The 19,056-nt window shown below is 42.0% G+C and overlaps 1 protein-coding gene across 2 annotated transcripts in view, besides 2 other annotated features; it reads right to left on the reverse strand.

The window, feature by feature from the left end:
* NUP133 (nucleoporin 133) overlaps positions 1-19,056 on the reverse strand; it is a 68,083-nt gene that overhangs the window by 21,988 nt on the left and 27,039 nt on the right. Inside the window, exons 13-19 of one of the 2 annotated variants that reach the window (NM_018230.3) lie at positions 15,351-15,514; positions 13,392-13,486; positions 8,334-8,558; positions 4,388-4,510; positions 3,174-3,273; positions 2,378-2,629; positions 1,297-1,430 (exon numbers count right to left, since the gene is read on the reverse strand). In NM_018230.3, the coding sequence (NP_060700.2) occupies positions 1,297-1,430; positions 2,378-2,629; positions 3,174-3,273; positions 4,388-4,510; positions 8,334-8,558; positions 13,392-13,486; positions 15,351-15,514 (1,093 nt within the window). The remainder of the gene's footprint in view (positions 1-1,296; positions 1,431-2,377; positions 2,630-3,173; positions 3,274-4,387; positions 4,511-8,333; positions 8,559-13,391; positions 13,487-15,350; positions 15,515-19,056) is intronic. The other variant, XM_047424979.1, reaches the window with a different exon arrangement.
* Positions 16,745-16,854: a silencer, noted in NCBI's record as "silent region_1930". NCBI's record gives its function as "represses an Ori minimal core promoter by ATAC-STARR-seq in GM12878 lymphoblastoid cells {active_cell/tissue: GM12878}" and the evidence as "EXISTENCE:reporter gene assay evidence [ECO:0000049][PMID:35858748]".
* Positions 17,559-17,608: an enhancer, noted in NCBI's record as "active region_2702". NCBI's record gives its function as "activates an Ori minimal core promoter by ATAC-STARR-seq in GM12878 lymphoblastoid cells {active_cell/tissue: GM12878}" and the evidence as "EXISTENCE:reporter gene assay evidence [ECO:0000049][PMID:35858748]".

Here is a 19,056-nt window from a genome sequence, read left to right on the forward strand (position 1 = left end):
AATGCTGCTGTAGAATATTTAATGACATGAACAAATGTTTGCAATGTATCAAGTGAAAAAAGCAGTTGACAAAACATGTTTGTTTATAATACATAGAGTGGAAAGACTGAAAATATAAACCAAATGCTTAAAAGGTTCTCTCTGGGTGGTGGCATTTTGAGTGATTTTTATCTTTTGTGTTTATAGTGGTTTTCTAAATTTTATACAATATCACTTTTACAGTAATAAAAAATAAGCTTTTCATAGTAATCAACTGACTGAATAGACTGGCTTCAAGCAACAACTTTGAATTCACTTAAGATAGTGTCACAATGGAAATTTTTTTTTTTTTTAAAGATAGGTCTTCCTCTGTCACCTAGCTGTGGTGTAGTGGCACAATCTTGGCTCACTGGCCTTGACCTCCTGGGCTCAAACGATCCTGCCACCTTAGCCTCCTGAATAAGTGTGGCCATGGGCGTGTGGTGGCATGTTTTTTAAAAAAATTTTTTTTGTAAAGGCAGGGTCTATGTTGCCCAGGCTGGCCTCAAACTCCTGGCCTCAAGTGATCCTACCGCCTTGGCCTCTCAAAGTGCTGGGATTACAGCATGAGCCACTGAGGCTGGCTGGGAACTTTGTTTTTTAAACAGGAAGCATAATATCCCTCAAGGAAAATGAGAATGTTAGGTGTATTTGTAAAGCTAAGCTCTCTTAAAGTAGTCTTCTATGCTCCCGAGTATCTTCTATACAATTTTTAAGAACTTTACCAATATTCATGTACCTAAGTACTTTTATAATAACTAGAAAATATATAAACAGAAATGAAAGTTATATTTTCCAAAGGTCAAAGAATCTTTCAGTAATATTTATATATAAAGAATTGTGTGGTCAGGCGATGGCTCATGCCTGTTATCCCAGCACTTTGGGAGGCTGAAGCAGGAGGATCGCTTGAGCCCAGGAGTTTGAGACCAGCCTGGACAACATAGCGAGACTTTGTCTCTACTGAAAAATGAACAAAATTAGCCAGGCATGGTGGCGAGCTCCTGTGGTCCCATCTACTGGAAAGCAGGAGGTGTGGGAGGGGGTGAGGTGGGAGAAGTGATTGGACCCAGGAGGTTGAGGCTGTCGTGAACTGTGATCTCGCTACTGGACAAAATTTACAAAGAAACGCGACATACAAATTAGTATCTTCTCATCAAAGTTAACTACAAAAAGATCGTATCATATTCCAAAAGCCCTGATTACAGATTTGAAATGGCAAAGCCATTTCAAGAAAAGGCAACTAAAGGACTCAGTGGCCACACACCCAACACTCATCACCTGATCAGCAAACTGGGTCATGTAGCGCTGGAGTCGGCTCTGGTTGTCAGTCTGCTCACACATTTGTACCAATATATCAAAGTCACAGTATTTCTCTGCTAGAGAAGCAGCCCACAGGTACTGGCCTAGTGAAACTGTGGGAATGAGAAAAGATGGGAAAAAATCCTGTTAGCAAAACTTAAAATCTGTAATAAAAAATGTTACTTGAAATTTTATCTTTATTCCTATTATAAACCAACAATCATTAATGGAATGGAAACCTTCCCACTTACTGGCACTTAGTTTCACAATTCACATCAATTTCTTAAAGATGCAAATTCAGGCCAGGTGCGGTGGCTCACACCTGTAATCCCAGCACTTTGGGAGGCTGAGGCGGGTGGATCACCTGAGGTCAGGAGTTCGAGTCCCGCCAGGCCAATATGGTGAAACCCCATCCCTACCAAAAATACAAAATTAGCCAGTTGTGGTGGCACACGCCTGTAATCCCAGCTACCTGGGAGGCTGAGGCAGGAGAATTGTTTGAACCCGGGAGATGGAGGTTGCAGTGAGCTGAGATTATACCACTGCACTACAGCCTGGGCGAGAGAGTGACGCTCTGTCTCAACAAAAAAAAAAGATGCAAATTCAGACCCTTGTTTCATCACTGCCTCCCCAAAACGCTATTCTCTTCCTTCATGTAAGAGTAAAGCAAACTCTTCCCAGTCCTAGCCTGGAGTATAATGTGTCCTTTGCCAAACAGCCATAATATCTTATCTGTACCCCTCAAGCAGCCCTCACCAGGCTCTACTTTGCAATCCAGTTATTCACGTAAAGGTCTGTGATGCTAAGCTCTTTAAGGGTAGTCTCCACATGTTGTTTGTTTATGTATTTATTAATTGTCTTCAGTATCATCTATGGTACTTATACCTAGATAGTACTGGAAAAAAAGTTGAATAAATGAGCACAGAAAGCTGTGCATATTTGCTTTAAGTTCTTTATTACAGTTGGATTAACACTACCACACTGAATATACTGAATTAACTATTCAACCCTTTCATCCATTCAGCAAATTTAAAACTCTTGCCAAGTATCATGAACTTACGAAGAGGAGATAAGAGATCTGATCTTTTCTGTAGGTATTCCATCTCCAGATTGTCATATCTTTCCCGATTACTGGATTTATCCACAGACTTAAGCTGAGAAACATAACCATCCAGGAAGCAATCGATCAGGGCTACCAGCTGCTCGGTCACGATGTTTCGGAGGTTGCTGTCTGCCTGTGGATAAGCCACCTTCAGGACAATCTCATGCTGGCGTATTATTACCGTTCGGATGCCACCAGGACCACTTGTTGCTGTGAAATTACACAAAATAATATGGTTAAAGTAAGGGATCTAGTGATGGCTAAAGGAAAGACTAATAGCATAAAAATTATGCCTCTTCATCACTGCTGGAAAATTACATTGAACAGGGATTCAGGTGATACCTGTCAATGCCCTGCTTGAATCCCATCTTCTCCAAGGAGATTTCCTCAGCAAAGCCAGGTAAACATGACTCTTCTTCCTTCTAAATTCCTTTAATGCTACTCCACTTACTTTCTTGTATTAAATCAACATAAAATATAGTCCATACCTCCGGGGCCAGGACTGCTTCTATGAATAACTATTTGAACTAAAACCTAGTAAATGCATAAGTACCAGTTGAATACATAAATTATAGAGAGATCGATAAATAAGAGCAAGGGACGAATAAAGTGATTTTGACAAGAGCTGCTCATTTTGGAGACGGCACTTTTTCATTTCACTTACAAACCTACGCTAGGGGAATAACACAACTTCTAAAAATGATGGGTCATTAGAAATATATTTTGAACAACTGTTAATAAATCAGTATATTACCCGTCCATGGAACATATTCAGGTTCTTTTTCTAGTGATTCTTCTCTTCTATACAAAGAGTTTCTATTTTGGCGATAATGACTAGCAGCCTGCAGCATATCCTGGAAAAAAAGTTAATGTGTTATCACATGCAAAAGGTGATGGATCACAGTATTTCTGAAGATAATTTAAGACAGCAAAGTAAATTAGTAAGAAAAAATACTCAGGGGCCAGGAATGTTGGCTCACACCTGTAATCCCAGTGCTTTGGGAGGCTGAGGTAGGAGGATTGCTCCTAGCCTGACAACATAGTGAGACCCCATCTGTACAAAAAATTTTTAAAATTACCTGGGCATCGTGGCGTGCACCTACCGTCCCAGCTACTTGGGAGACTGAGGCAGGAGGACTGCTTGAGCCCAGGAGGTGGAGGCTGCAGTGAGCTATAATCAAGCCACTATAAACCCAGCCTGGGCAATGGAGTGAGACCATGTCTCACAAAAAAAAAAAAAAAAAGAAAAGAAAAGAAAATGAGAGAAAAAAGTCAGCACAGATCTGCATGATTACTTTTTGGTTCTTTCTGCTTTTGAAATTTGTTTTACTCCATAATTTAACTTCAGTTTTGGCAAATAATAGTAGGAAAATTATTTGGCAAAGTAGGAAAATCATTACTACAAGTCCACTAGCTAAAATTAAATGGAACGTTTTAGTCAATAGTAAAAGTAGCAAGGTTTTGAGTAATTAAAAAAATAGAAATGAGAAATATTTAGACAGTTACATTAACAATACGTTTGCAATCAGGCATGGTGTCTCAGTTCTGTAATCCCAACACTCTTGGAGGTTGAGGCAGGAGGAAGTCGTGAGCCCAGAGTTCAAGGTTACAGTGAGCTATGATGGTGCCACTGCACTCCAGCTTGGGTGACAGTGAGACCTTCTCTCAGAAAAAAAACCAACTAAAAAATTGCAAAGATACAAACACATCTTCCCAAATGAAAGGTTTATTATTCTACCAAATAGAAACTCAAGATTATAGAAATTTATTAATAGGCACCAGGCTAACATTCAAAATACTCATTAGCTGATTAATAATAAAATGACATTTTTCTAACTTTTTTGGGATTAACAAATGTCTACAACCTTATACATTATCGGCAATACAGAGTAGGAACATGGAAACCAGTTCCTTGTCTATCCATGCCCTGGGCTTTGATTTGCTGAAGCCTTTACTATATTTTTGTACCTTGAGAATATTGTTCACATTGATCACCACTTCAGCCCATTCAATGGAATCCATAGGTGCATCCCTCAAGACTTGCTCCTCATGCTCCAGTAAGCACTCACAGATGGTATCTACTTGGGATACCTGAGAGAATACACAGAAGTAAACTACTTACAACAAAAATTATGGTGATGGGTAACAACTACCCAGTGAGTTTTACTCATTAAGCCATATCCTCAGACCTATAGATGGAGGAAAATTTATTGGCAGTTGATGGTAAAAATAAATTCAAAAATCAAGAAAAGTCACATCTCCTAACTTTTAAAAGTCAGAGTGCCCAAATAAGTCTTATAAACAGGCAAATTCTGGATTGTTACTGAGATTTTTAAGCGATGATATTTTTTATTATAGCTACTCTGCTCAGTGCATCTTTAAATAGCACTAGGTTACAGATGACATCACTTTACAATGTAATACCCCAAACTAATGAACTAATAGACTAAAATAATGACCTCAAAAAGTGAACTTGCTAATTTCTTTCTTTGAGGAATTCCCCTTCTTCAGACATAACAGAAACATTTGTAGAACAGAAGTAAGCAACATAAGAGAATGAACTAAATACATAACTTCTAACTCTTCCTTTGTCATTAATTAATACATGGAGATAACAGTGCAAAAATACCATCAGGCACTGAAACTCCTGTTTCAAGTTCAAGTCTGCACTTAAGCTTTCCCCCCATTATTTAGAGTTTGCATAGCAATGGACACTCAGAGATAAGAGGAAAGAAAAATCAGATTAGCTGCCCTCAAGGACCTCACAAACTGGCTGAAGGAACAAGTTATATAGGCACAGATAAAACATGACCCAAACAAAATCCCTCCCTTTTGCAAACCTTGTTCTTCCTTTTGCATTTCTGATGTTAGCCAAAGGCATCCTAACAGCCCAGGCAAGAAATCTTTAGCACATTTAATTTATAAGCTTAAGTGTAAGAATATTTTACATTGTTAACATGAAAAACACAATGAAAGCCTATATAATGGCCGGGTGCGGTGGCTCATGCCTGCAATCCCAGCACTTTGGAGGTGGGTGGATCACAAGGTCAAGAGATCAAGACCATCCTGGAAAACATGGTGAAACCCTGTCTCCACTAAAAATACAAAAATTAGCTGGGCGTCGTGGCGTGCACCTGGAGTCCCGGCTACTTGGGAGGCTGAGGCAGGAGAATTGCTTGAACCAAGGAGGCCGAGGCTGCGGTGAGCAGAGATTGTGTCACTGCACTCCAGCCTGGCGACAGAGCAAGACTCAGTCTCAAAAAAAAAAAAAAAGGAAAGCATATATAATATAAAAGACAGAAAATAACATAAAAGCACATAAAATGCCAAAACACTTGTTAAATTCTCTTATCATGTATATATTCAGTGATTTCAAATATTGCTCATATGCCGTGTCAACATAGTCTGTTCCTTAAGCAGTGAGCTCTGCTTTTCCAGAGCCCTGGGAGGTACAAGGCCTTCCCAAACTGGAGACAGAGTCAAAGTGGAGAGCGCACCCTCAGGCAGCTCTGTATTGTTTTACTTTCTATCAGGGCTGCCAAGTCAAAATATCGTTCTATATGGCCCACCAATCAGAGATTGATTTTGGTTAACCAGCTCGTCCCAAAACACAAATACTCCTTAGACAGGTAACTTGTCACCCCCAAGTGGAAGGACAGGTAAAAAGAAAGAAAAACTACTATATGCATATAGCTATTGTATTCTCTTTTCATGATCATTATGACACGGGAGAAAACCTTTATAACTACACCCCAGAGAAGCTAAAGACCAACGAACATCATGAGAAATGAAGATAAATAGTGACAGGAACAGTCCTAAACATTACCATTTTTCATATGGAACATTCTTTTGAGGAGCCAATCACATTTTTAGTTTTGCTGTATCATATTCCTAAAATATTATTCTATATGTATCCAACTGATAATTTCCAGACCCTTCTCCAATAATTCAGCTAACTGAAACATGTACATACACTAAATTGACACTTATACTTTGCCCTTTGATCCAAATGCAGAATAATGAACCAGGCTCTTGCTCAGTTCTTACAAGTAGTCTGTAATTAATTTTAAAAAATTGTCTTATCATATAAAATTATATATGAATAAAGACCAAAAAGGACACAAAAATGACAACAACTTGATTTGTTAGATCATGAAACTTGAGGTGATTTGTTTTTCTTTCAGATTTCTGGCATACTGTCTAGATTAAAAACAAAACATAACAAAGTGCTTTTCCTTCCATTCCCCAGGAACTAACCCAAATGCATAAAAGCAAAGAATTCACACTAAACACATTTATGGAATCAACAGGAAGACTGAATTTAGGTTATAGTACATCAAACTTAGGTTACAGTACATCAAACATTAAGAAAAAGAGACTTGTCGGCACAGTGTGCTACATGTTAGAATACAGCTAGGCTATAGGAGGAAGGAAGCAAAATTTGAGACACCAAATAGAGTTTGAAGTTCCTCAAATGCATAAGGAATTCCAAATTTCACAGAGCTCAGGGAAGAGCTGGCCCTGTTTCTAAAACCAGATAGTTCTGCAGTCTCAGTTAAGACAACAGGTCTAAGTTCTAATGTCACACCTTTAAAGGGAGACAGCGAAGTCTGCCTTGCTGCCTCATCAGGCTGTGAAGCTTCACAAAAGCACGAGGACTGCGTCACTATTTCCACAATGTCCAGCTGCCACTGGCTGCCCAGCATCTTAACCATTTCTGTCTTTGAAGTTTGTAGCAGACTTTACTTTTTCTCTGAAAATAAATCTGATTCTACAAGCAAGGTGTAGCAACAGGATCCTAGGAGGTAGCTGAGGAGTTCAGTGAAGGTACTGTTTGCAAAGGTGTGGGCAAGATTAAGGGGTCCAAAAAGGGATGGGGCAGCACCCTAGGATGAGGCATTATCAACCTCAGGCCTGAAGAGGCACAAGGAGGGGGCAGCTACTGGAAACACAGAGAAAGCAGTTGGACAGGAGGCACAGTCCCTGACAGAGGGGCACAGCCAATGTAAAGTGCGCACAGGCAAGGAAGAAAGCTGGCAGAATAACTACTCCAACTTCTGGCCTTATGGCAGGGCCTCACATTCATCTGACCTGGCAGAAGCCGGAGGGCAAGGGAGCCCATTCAGGAAGGCCACCTTGCTGTGGCAGAGTCAAGAGTAGATCTGCCTGGCCAACAAGGGTGAAACCAGGTCTCTACTAAAAATACAAAAATTAGCTGGGCATGGTGGCACATGCCTGTAGTCCCAGCTACTTGGGAGGCTGAGGCAGGAGAATTGCTTGAAGCCAGGAGGCAGAGGTTGCAGTGAGCCGACATTGCACTGTTGCACTCCAGCCTGGCAACAGAGCAAGACTTAGTGCCCCCTGCCCCCAGAAAAAAGAGTAGATCGAGAGAGACAAAGGAGAAGATCAGGATGGATGCAGTAGCTCACGCCTGTAATCCCAGCACTTTGGGAGGCTGAGGCGAGTGGATCACCTGAGGTCAGGAGTTCGACATCAAACCCCATCTCTACTAAAAATATGAAAATTAGCCGGGGTGGTGGCTAGCACCTGTAATCCCAGCTACTCGGGAGGCTGAGGTAGGAGAATCACTGGAACCCGGGCAACAGAGTGAGACTCCATCTCAAAAAAAAAAAAAAAGAAGATCAGCATGCAAAGCAAATAGGTACTTGGAGACAGTTATTGGGGGAAAAAAGTAAACAGGGAGCACTTCTTAGTCAACTTTGCAAACTCTTCTTTACAGGTAACTGATCAATGAGACTTCTGAGTGACACTCTAGCCAGAAAATCTGGAGTCCAATTTAAAATTTCAGTGAGATCTTTTGTGATTTAACTCGTCCTCACCGTCTTTCCTGCCTAGGGCATGATCACTAAATGGCACAGTTCTACAAAGCCACATGAAAGAGGACTCATCTTACCTCCCTGAAAAAGACATCTGCAGGAGTCAGGTTGGATGGGATTTCATACTCCCTCTTGTTCAAAGCAATCAATATGGCTGTGTTGACAAGGTCAGAAAGCCGGGAGTGGTGGTTCTTGAGAACAATGGCGGCTGACAGCTTTTCGGCATGCTCACAGAGCAACAGTCGAGTGGCCATCGGTGTCCCTCTAACTGGAAAACTGCCTAGACGTCCAAATAAGCCAACCTTGCAAAAAGGCAAACACATATTCTCAGAAAGCAATTATGGTAACATGCAAAATACCATAGCTGTATTTTCCCCAGAAGCACCCTGGGCAGTCACTGGCCCCAGCTTTCCCCCAGCAAGTCCCTCCAGCTGTCTCTTGTTTTAACTGTTTCTAACACACAGACACTTCAGCCAGGCCATTAACACCCACAAGGAAATGTAGATATTCCTGTTCTAAGAACAGGGTCACTCCAGGGCTTCTGTCCACTACTACTGTCTCTGCATATCATGTTTCCCAAATTATTGTTTATGGTTATCAAAACAGTCACACTGCTCTTTTCGTCTTTTTTGAGACAGGGTTTTGCTCTGTCGCCCAGGCTGGAGTGCAGTGGTACAATCACAATCACAGGTCACCCTAACCTTAAACCCTCAGCTCAAGCCATCTTCCACCTCAGCCTCCCAAGCAGCACGCCACCACAACAGGATAATTTTTACACTTTATTTTTGTAGAGATGGGGTCTCACTATGTTGCCCAGGCTGATCTTGGCCACAAGATCTCCTGGCCACAAGCGAGCCTACTGACTCGGCCTCTCAAAGCACTGGAATTACAGGTGTGAACCACTGCACCTGGCTTCACACTGCCCTTTACTAGCTGTATCAATTAACTCCCCTAGGTTCCAGACTTTCAGAAATCAGAAACTCAGCAACCTCCACCTTCAAGGACTGATTTCCATACCCCTAATGCTGCTGGGAGGGTGGGGGTGTCTCTAACCCTTTGCATCTTCTACTGAGTTGCTTGGTGCCCATCTGTCCTGTGTTATGATCTTCTAGGGGTTTTCCTAAGCTTTCTCATTGCATATGACATTACAATAACCTGAACTAGGAAAGAGCCAAAAGACAGGCATAAATAATGAATACTTTTTCACATTTTAAGTATAATTCTCTTTCGTTAATAAGTGACCTGATTTTCTTATCCTTCATTTTCTATATGCTTTTGTAGTATTTACATGCTAGGAGATATCTTTTTATAACACAAAAGGGGTCACACTGTATATATTGTTCTGTACCTTGTTTTGATAGTATCTTATTTTTTATAACACATTTAGATATTCTTATTTTTAATGACTGGTTAATAATTCACTGAATCCTAATGTATTTAACCTGTTCACCTTATTATTTTAAAATAAGAGTTACATGGTCTTTCCTGACTTGAATTTATTTCCTGGTTCCCTCAAAAATATTTTAGGTGTAATCGGCCAGGCGTGATGGCTCATGCCTGTAATCCCAGCACTTTGGGAGGCCGAGGCGGGCGGATCACGAGTTCAGGAGATCGAGACCATCCTGGCTGAAACAGTGAAACCCCGTCTCTACTAAAAATACAAAAAATTAGCCGGGCGTGGTGGCAGGCGCCTGTAGTCCCAGCTACTTGGGAGGCTGAGGCAGGAGAATGGCATGAACCAGGGAAGCGGAGCTTGCAGTGAGCAGAGATTGCGCCACTGCACTCCAGCCTGGGCGACAGAGCGAGACTCCGTCTCAAAAAAAAAAAAAAAAAAAATCTAGGTGGAGTTTTCATGCAAGGTCATCCCAATTGCCTGCTTTACTTTGCTTTGATTGCAGCACTGACAGTGAAGCAATGGCTCTAGATTAAAACTATTCTAGGCCAGGCACAGTGGCTCACACCTGTAATCCCAGCACTTTGGGAGGCAGAAGCAGGCGATCACCTGGGTAATGTGTACAAAAAATACAAAAAGTAGCTGATTTGGTGGCACATGCCTGTAGTCCCAGCTACTTGGGAGGCTGAGATGGGAAGATCACCTGAGCCCGGACAGGCTGTAGCTACAGTGAGCTATGATCATGCCACTGCACTCCAGCCTGGGTGACAGAGTGAGACCCTGTCTCAAAAAAATTAAAAAACTAAATATACATATATATATATATATATATGTACAATCATTCTAGTCACACAGTGAATATGATCAGATTACCTCCCTGCTTCTGTAAGGTATGGAAACACAATGTATGAACACAGAGGCTTCCCTCAACATCAGAAAACTAGAGGCAAGGGTACTGTTCTGAAGTGTTGGTGTTACTTCCACCCCCTTCAGAATGAGGATATGGCCCTGCAGATGCCAAGTTTGGCTCAAGGAGAAAAGGAATATTTCTCTGTATTCAGAAATATTCCCTAGGGCTGGGTGCAGTGGCTCAGGCTTGTAATCCCAGCACTTTGGGAAGCCTAGGCAAGAGGATCACTTGAGGCCAGGAATTTGAGACCAGCCTGGGCAACATTATGAGACCCTGTCTCTACAGCAAATAAAAAAATTAGCCGGGCGTGGTAGTGAGTGCCTGTGGTCCCATCTATTGGGGAGGCAGTGGTGAGAAGATTGCTTGAGCCCAGGAGGTCAAGCCTGCAGTGAGCTGCGATCGTGCCACTGCACTCCACCTTGGGCAACAGAGACCCTGTATCCAAACAAAAAACACACAAAAAAAACTTTCCTTAGTATCTAGTTATACCTTTTTCCTAATTATCAACATAAATTCTTCCTCATTAGTTAAATGAGCTCTAAATATTAAAGGAAATAGAAACATAAAAGGCATGGCTGGAATGGGGTTTTCAGAACTAGCTAGACATTGCCTTAGGACAGATACTGCTACCAGCAGCCGTGGAACTTCGTGAGGGTTCTCTGGAACCCAGGAAGGCTGAGACAAGAGTGCTCATGCTCTCATGGCTTTCGGGCCTCTGATAAATCCATGCTTTTAGTGTGGCGAATCAGGTCAGGGCAAGGTCCTGCCGGCCCAGTATGCATATCCTCTTCCAATGAGAATGACTTTGCCACTCTTCCCATCGAGAGGTACAATCACACTGGGCACAGTGGCTCACACCTGTAATCGCAGCACTTTGGGAGGCAGAGGCAGGCGATCACTTGAGCTTAAGAGTTCGAAACTAGCCTGGGCAATATGGCAAAACCCGTTCTCCACAAAAAATACACAAAATTAGCCAGGTTCAGCACCATGCGCCTGTAGTCCCAGCTACTGGGGAGGCTGGGGCAGGAGAATCACTTGAGCCCAGGAGGCAAAGGTTGCAGTGAGCTGAGATTGCGCCACTGTACTCCAGCCTGGGCGATGGGAGTGAAACCCTGTCACACACATACAAAAAAAGAGGTATAATAAATTCTTTAATTTTTCATCCCAGCTGTCCTTGTGACTTGCTTTGACCAATGTCACTTTACTGGAAGTAACATTATGTGACATCTGAGATGAGCCCTTAAGAAGCCTACAGCTTCTATGTTCATCTGTTAAGACCACAGGAAGCCAGTCCAGCCCAGAGCAGGATGAGCGACTAAATGGAGGAGAACCACATAGCCTCTGTTGACAGTTGGAACCAACTGCCAGAAAGCGGGAAGAGGCTTGCAGACCCTCCAGCTCAGTGCATCCTAAATGCAGGTCGAGTGATTCCGGGTGAAACCAACAGAAGAACTGCCTGATTAACCCACAGAATTGTTTTAAGCCACTGTGTTTTGGGGTGGTTTATATGGCAGTAATAGTTAACTGATACACTTGGCTAATTAAACGACCATATCGGGAGAAAATATGTTTTTTCCTCATTAATCCATATCCCACCTAAAATAACAATAACAAAAAAAGAGAGACTCAATGAATGATTGGAGTTTTCTTGCCAAGAAAATAAAAGAGTAGACAGGAGATAAACCATGCACAAAATTGAAAAAGAATGTGGGATTAGGAACAATCAAGTCATTTCTGAAATTATCTAGTGCTGCACTGTCCAATAAGGTAGCCACTGTCCACAGTGGCTATTTAAGTAAGTTAAAATTCAGTTCTTCAGTTGCTAGTCACATTTCAACTGTTCAGGTCACATGTGGCCAGCAGCTGTCCCACTAGACATCACACTAGGAGAACATTCCCATGATCACAGAAAGCAATGGATTGGACAGCACTCACTAGAATCTCCTTAACATAAAAAATTAGCCGGGTGTGGTAGTGAGTAGGCACTACTGAGTTTGAAAAACAATCAGGGAAGAGACTGGGCCTGGTAGCTCATGCCTGTAACCTCAGCACCTTGGGAGGCTGAAGTGCAGTGATTTCTTGAGCCCAGGAGTTCGAGACCAGCCTGGGCAACGTAGTAAGATTCTGTCTCTACAAAAACTGAAAAAAAATTATATGGGCATGGTGGCACAAACCTGTAGTCCCAGCTACCCAGGAGGCTGTGAGAGGACTGCTTGAGCCTAGGAGGTCAAGGCTGCAGTGAGCCAAGACTGTGCCACTACACTCCAGACTGGGCAACAGAGTGCCCTGTCTCAATAAATAAATAAATAAATAAATAAAACAAACAAACAAAACCCCAAGCAGGTTGAAATTCATTCATTTGGCTACGTAATATGTCTGCAAGCCACTTTTATTGACGAGACAAGAATGAGTGAATTTATGTAACAATTCTGTCCAGTAGCAAAACATTTTCTAATTTAGGCACAATATATGTGAGGATAACCTTTACCCAAAAAAAGAAAAGGAATACTTTCAATGAGGATTTGATTCTAATGGCACCTCAAAATTAAAAGTCATACATAAAAATCTGTCAAATACAAAATCGACTCATGAAAACTTAAGTTCTTACACAAACGCACACGGGAAATCTGAATGAAGTCCTGCTTCTTATACCTGGATTAACAGGCTTGTACACAGCCCTGGAATTACGGACTTTTAAATCAGCAGAGACAATGGAAAACACCAGTCATGCCCCACCCAATGAAACACCTCAAAATAGAGAGAAGAGACTTCCCACTGTGTTGGAGAGACTGCCAAAGGCAGAGCCCTGTGCCCAGCACCCTGCGCTCTTACTTGATGAATAAAGTCCATAAGAAAAGAGTGAGCTTTCATCTTGTCTTCTAGCTGGTGAAGGATAATCAGTGACGTATTGCTGAACCCAGGTGCTTCTGTTAAAACACAGTGATAAAACTTAGAACATAGTGGTTTTACAACTATACTATTTTAATATCAGTGGCTAACTGCTATTAAAATAAAAAGCTAAGGCTAGGCACGGTGGCTCACACCTGTAATCCGAGCACTTTGGGAGGTCGAGGTGGGCAGATCACGAGGTCAAGAGATCGAGACCATCCTGGCAAACATGGTGAAACCCGATCTCTACTAAAAATACAAAAATTAGCTGAGCGTGGTGGCGCATGCCTGTAGTCCCAGCTACTCAGGAGGCTGAGGCAAGAGAATTGCTTGAACCCGGGGAGGTGGAAGTTGCAGTGAGCCGAGATTGCGCCACTGCATTCCAGCCTGGCGACAGAGCGAGACTCGGTCTCAAAAAAGAAAAGGGAAAAAAAAAAAAAGTCTATACAAAATAAAAATATCAACCTTACAATACAGTTGTTTATAACGTTACTCAGGAGTTTTAAAAATTTAAGAGTAAATTTTGGAGGTTTGATACAATTCATACTGTATTTATTCAAAATGCAAAATACGTTTTTAGTTTAATCATTTGTAACAATTTAAGCTTGACAGTGCCAACAAAAACAGTCAAAGAAAGGAGATGAGCTCTCATGTTTTCTTCCTAAATCTCTAATGGAGCTTAGTGAACTTGCTAAGAAGTAGGATAATTAGGGAGAGAAACATGTTTGAGACAGTTCCCTGGTATCTGGGGACCCCAGAGTTCCCCTCGAGTTTCTGAGGTGGAAGTAAGAGTAAGAGGGGCAGTCACCTGGGACAGGCAGCTAGACATGTCTTGTCCACTTCTACATATTGACATTTGATCACTGCTGCTCTTAGGGGAATGGATCATTTCTATTAGTCAAATATACTGATTATGCCAAAATTATCATTTAATTTGGGGGTAAGTAGGCTGGGTGTGGTGGCTTACACCTGAAATCCCAGCACTTTGGGAGATCAAAGCGGGTGGACCACCTGAGGTCAGGAGTTCAAGACCAGCCTGGCCAACATGGTAAAACTACATCTCTACTAAAAATACAAAAATTAGCTGGGCATGGTGGTGCACACCTGTAATCTCAGCTACTCAGGAGGCTGAGGTGGGAGTATCACTTGAACCCAGGAGGTGGAGGTTGCAGTTAGCTGAGATCGTGCCACTGCATTCCAGTCTGGGTGACAAAGTAAGGGAGACCCTGTTTCCAAAAAAAAAAAACAAAAAAAAAAACTGGGATTGGGGGGCAGGTAAGTGCCAACTGTCTACCTATGCAACCAATTTTCTTTTAGAAATAAAAGCCAGGAAAGCTAAGTAAGGCAATTAATCTGCCTTGGATAGAACAATTAGGATTTGCTCCAATGTTCCTTTAGTTTCCATTCTGTTATCTAGACCTGTTCTGACCCTTTTTCAAAACATACTATAAGGAAGGTTACCTGGCCGGGCCTGGTGGCTCACACCTGTAATCCCAGCACTTTGGGAGGCCGAGGTGGGTGGATCACGAGGTCAGGAGATCAAGACCAACCTGGCTAACACAGTGAAACCCCGTCTCTACCAAAAATACAAAAAAATTAGCCAGCCATGGTGGCGGGCACCTGTAGTCCCAGCTACTCGGGAGGCTGAGGCAGGAGAATGGCGTGAACCTGGGAGGTGGAGCTTGCAGTGAGCCAAGATCGCGCCACTGCACTCCAGCCTGGGTGACAGAGCCTTGCTCTGTCTCAAAAAAAAAAAAAAAAAGGAAGGTCACAATATTTTAAAAAATATTGAATTAATATTAAATTGTTTGAGAAGCTAAAAAATATGCTTTAAGAGATGCTTCTAATAAAGAAACCAGAATATGTTCAAAACACACCGTTCCATAATTGAAACATTCTTACCCTCAGGGACAGACTCAGCCCACCGTGGGTCAGATGCTGGGTAGTCATCCATCAGGTCTACACTGATTTGGGTAACTGCCCTGTCTAGTTCAGAATCAGAATCCAAATCAGAGTGAGAGGAAAAGAGCTCATCAACCACCATTTGAGCATGACCTAAATCTTTTCTGAAATAAAATTGGAAAACACAAGTATTAAGGGAGGCAAAATATTTTCAAAACTCACCAAGAAAAAATTAATTATGGACTACTATTCAGCCAAAAAAAAGAATGCGATCCTGTCATTCGCAACAGTAGGGATGGAACTGGAGGACATGTTAAGTGAAATAAGTCAGGCACGAAAGACATGTAACAAACTTTACATGTTCAATAATTTAGTGTACATTTTAAAGTAACTAAGAGCATAATTAGAATGTTCACAACATACAAAAAAGATGAATGCTTGAGGTGACGGATATCCCATTTACCCTGATGTGATTATTACGCATTGTATGCCCGTATGAAAATATCTCATGTACCCCACAAACGTATACACCTACTATGTACCCATAAAAATAAAAAAAAAATTTTAAGTTAATTGTGAAGTTAAATGTAACCTAAAAACCATTTATAGGTTTTGGCTCAAAGTTACTTTTAATAAAATTTATTTAATTAAAAGGGAGAAAACTATTATCCATTCATTAATTCAATAAATACACATTGAATACTTAGAACATGCTCGGCTCTGGACACAGAAAGATAAAAAGACTTAAAAATAGTCCAGACAATTGAGCAAGCAATGACACAGGTGATAAACACCGAGAGAGACAGGGAAAACTTCCTAACAGGTAAAGAGGAGGTCATGGAAGGCTGGGGAGAACTGGGGGAGGGGTATACAGCTGCACACAGAACATACATCCACATCCGTCCGCAAGTAAGCCTCTATCTCAGGAGAGAACTGAGGCTACGGGAGAGGCTGAGATCACCCAGGGAGCAAGAGTTTGGAAAAAACTTGCAGGATAACCAATTAAAGGAAGGGTAAGCCCATAAAAAGCAGCAGACTCTTCTAACTTAGAGAGATTAGGGGACAACTAGGGTGTCAATGAACCCACCAGGGGATTAACTATGGCACACATGAAGAAACGAGGGATACTGAGAAGGGATGAATCACAAAATTAGAGGACACGGTCTTGTAAACCATGTTATGGGGTTTGAACCTAATACCAAGGACAATGGACAGGCACTGTAAAGGAGTGTCACAGTCTGTTCCAGTGTCCCAAAAGATTGCTCTATCATATGGAGAGGGGATCAGATGTCAGATCAGACAAGAGAAAAATCCAGTTAGGAGGTTACTGCAGAAAGGAAAAGACAGGAAAGAGAAAAATCCAGTTAGGTTACTGCTGGATCTGATGTACAGTAGTCCCCTCTTATTCATGGTTTCACTTCCCACAGTCACAGTTACCTGCAGTCAACTGCAGTCTGAAAACAGATGACAGAGACAGAGAGAGAGAGAGAGACCAACCACACTCACATATTTTTATTACAGTACAGTCATCTCTCAGTATACACAGGGGATTAGTTACAGGACCCCCAACATACACCAAAATCCACCCATATTCAAGTCCTGCAGCTGGCTCTGTGGAGCTCCAGCATACAAAAAGGCGACCTTCTGCATAAGCAAGTGAATTTCTGATCCGCATTTGGTTGAAAACATGCTGTGAATTTTTGATCCGCATTTGGTTGAAAACAGCCTGCATATTATGTAGACCCACACAGTTCAAAGCCGTGTTGTTCAAAGGTCAATTGTATATTGTTACGGTTGTTTTATTACTATTGTTCTTAATCTCTTAGGATGCCCAATTTATAAATTAAACTTCATCATAGGTACTATAGGAAAAACGTATATATATGATTCAGTACTATATGCAATTTCAGGTATCCACTGGGGGTCTTAAGACATATCCCCCTGTGGGTAAGGGGGAACAACTGTATAAGAATGACTCCTCTGTTGTTGCTTTGAACTGAAGAGATGGTAGTGCTTGTCACTGGAGCAGGGGGTAAGGATGGAAGAATAAGCTTTGGAGAAGATAAGCTCGGTTTTGGATACGTTGAAACTCAAGTGCCTATGAAATATGTACTGCTGCTGGACACTCTCCATTTTCACATAATGGCCCGGGTCATGGTACATCTGTTTCTTCAGCAAATGAAGCCAAGGAGGAGAAAAGATCACCGAGGGAGTAGACAGAGAGGGAATGTGGTCGACAACTGAGAATGTAGACATCCTTTCAGGTGGTTTAGCCATCAACAGGAACAAACAGATAAGGTGGTAACTCAAAGGACGCAAAGTCAAAGACTGGTCTTTTTACAAATGGCAGACTAAATATGATTAATTGCTGATGAGAAGGAGCCAGCACGAGAAAGGTCAAAGGACAGAGGAAAGGGAGAACTGAAAGGATGTAGTCTTAAGTGAAGCAGGAGAGAGTGGCCTTCAAAACAAAGAGCAGTCTCTGATAGGAAGAAGAGTACACTTCCTACTTTATTGGGAGGGAAAGAGGAACAGGATTTGGGATCCAGATACATTCATAGCTAGTAAGCTAGGAGGTACAGGGAGCTCTTATCAAGGGCTTCTGTGATCTCTGTGAAGTAGGAAGTTAAGTCCTCTGCTAAGTCTGAGGGAAGTGGGAGGAGACTGGAAAAGGGCTGTCATGGTCCCTTGGTAGAACAGGAGACACAGCTGACTGGAGAAACGCAGAAAAACTCTTGAAAGCGTGAAAGGCCAGGGTGAAGCTGGTGACCCAGTCACGCTACAGGTTATGAAAATACAAAGGTGACTATGGCAAGATTTAATAAAAAATTACAGAAAAAGTTCCCCAAAACTCTCATGAACAAAAGATTTAGTGTTTTTTGGGCTAAATAAAATGAAAACCAAAATAACATAAAAATCAATTTCAAAGAAATGATGCTATAAAAACAGTAATATTACCTTAGCAAAAGATTAAACAGACAGTCACACTTAAAAGTGTTATCTACCAATTGTGACCCCAGGGGCCATCTGGCAATGTCTGACGATAACTTTGGGCATCACAAGTTGGGGGAAAGGGTGCTAATGGCATCTAGCAGGAAGTGGCTGGTGATGCTGTTAAACAGCTTACAATGCACCGCTGGAGTGCGGTGACGGGATCTCGGCTCACTACAACCTCCGCCACCTGGGTTCAAGCGATTCTCCTGCCTCAGTCTCCTGAGTAGCTGAGATTACAGGCATGTGCCACCACACCCAGCTATTTTTTTTTTTTTTTTTTTTTAAGAAGAGACAAGGTTTCACCATGTTGGTCAGGCTGGTCTCGAAGTCCTGATCTCAAATGATCTGCCTGCCTTGGCCTCCAAAGTACTGGGATTACAGGTGTGAACCATCACACCCGGCCTCAAATGACAATGTTAATGGGGTTGAGAAATCCAGCTTTAAAGGCACCACAATTCTGTTTGTAAGGAGTCTACATCTTTAAGAGAGCTAGCTGACACTCCCCCAGAAATCATCCCTTATTAAGTCCATAGTACTTCACCCATGTTGGGCAGGATGAGTTCAGCACAGCTGTGCTACAGGGCCCATGACACTGTTCCTGAGGGTACTGCTTGCTCAGGACTTAGATCAGGGGTCCCTTCTTGTGCCTAATAATTTTCCCCTGTAAAACATCTTAAGATGACTACACCAGGTTGAATAGTGTCTCCCACAA

The sequence above is a fragment of the Homo sapiens genome, chromosome 1, assembly GCF_000001405.40.
Source record: "Homo sapiens chromosome 1, GRCh38.p14 Primary Assembly".
Classification (NCBI taxonomy): domain Eukaryota; kingdom Metazoa; phylum Chordata; class Mammalia; order Primates; family Hominidae; genus Homo; species Homo sapiens.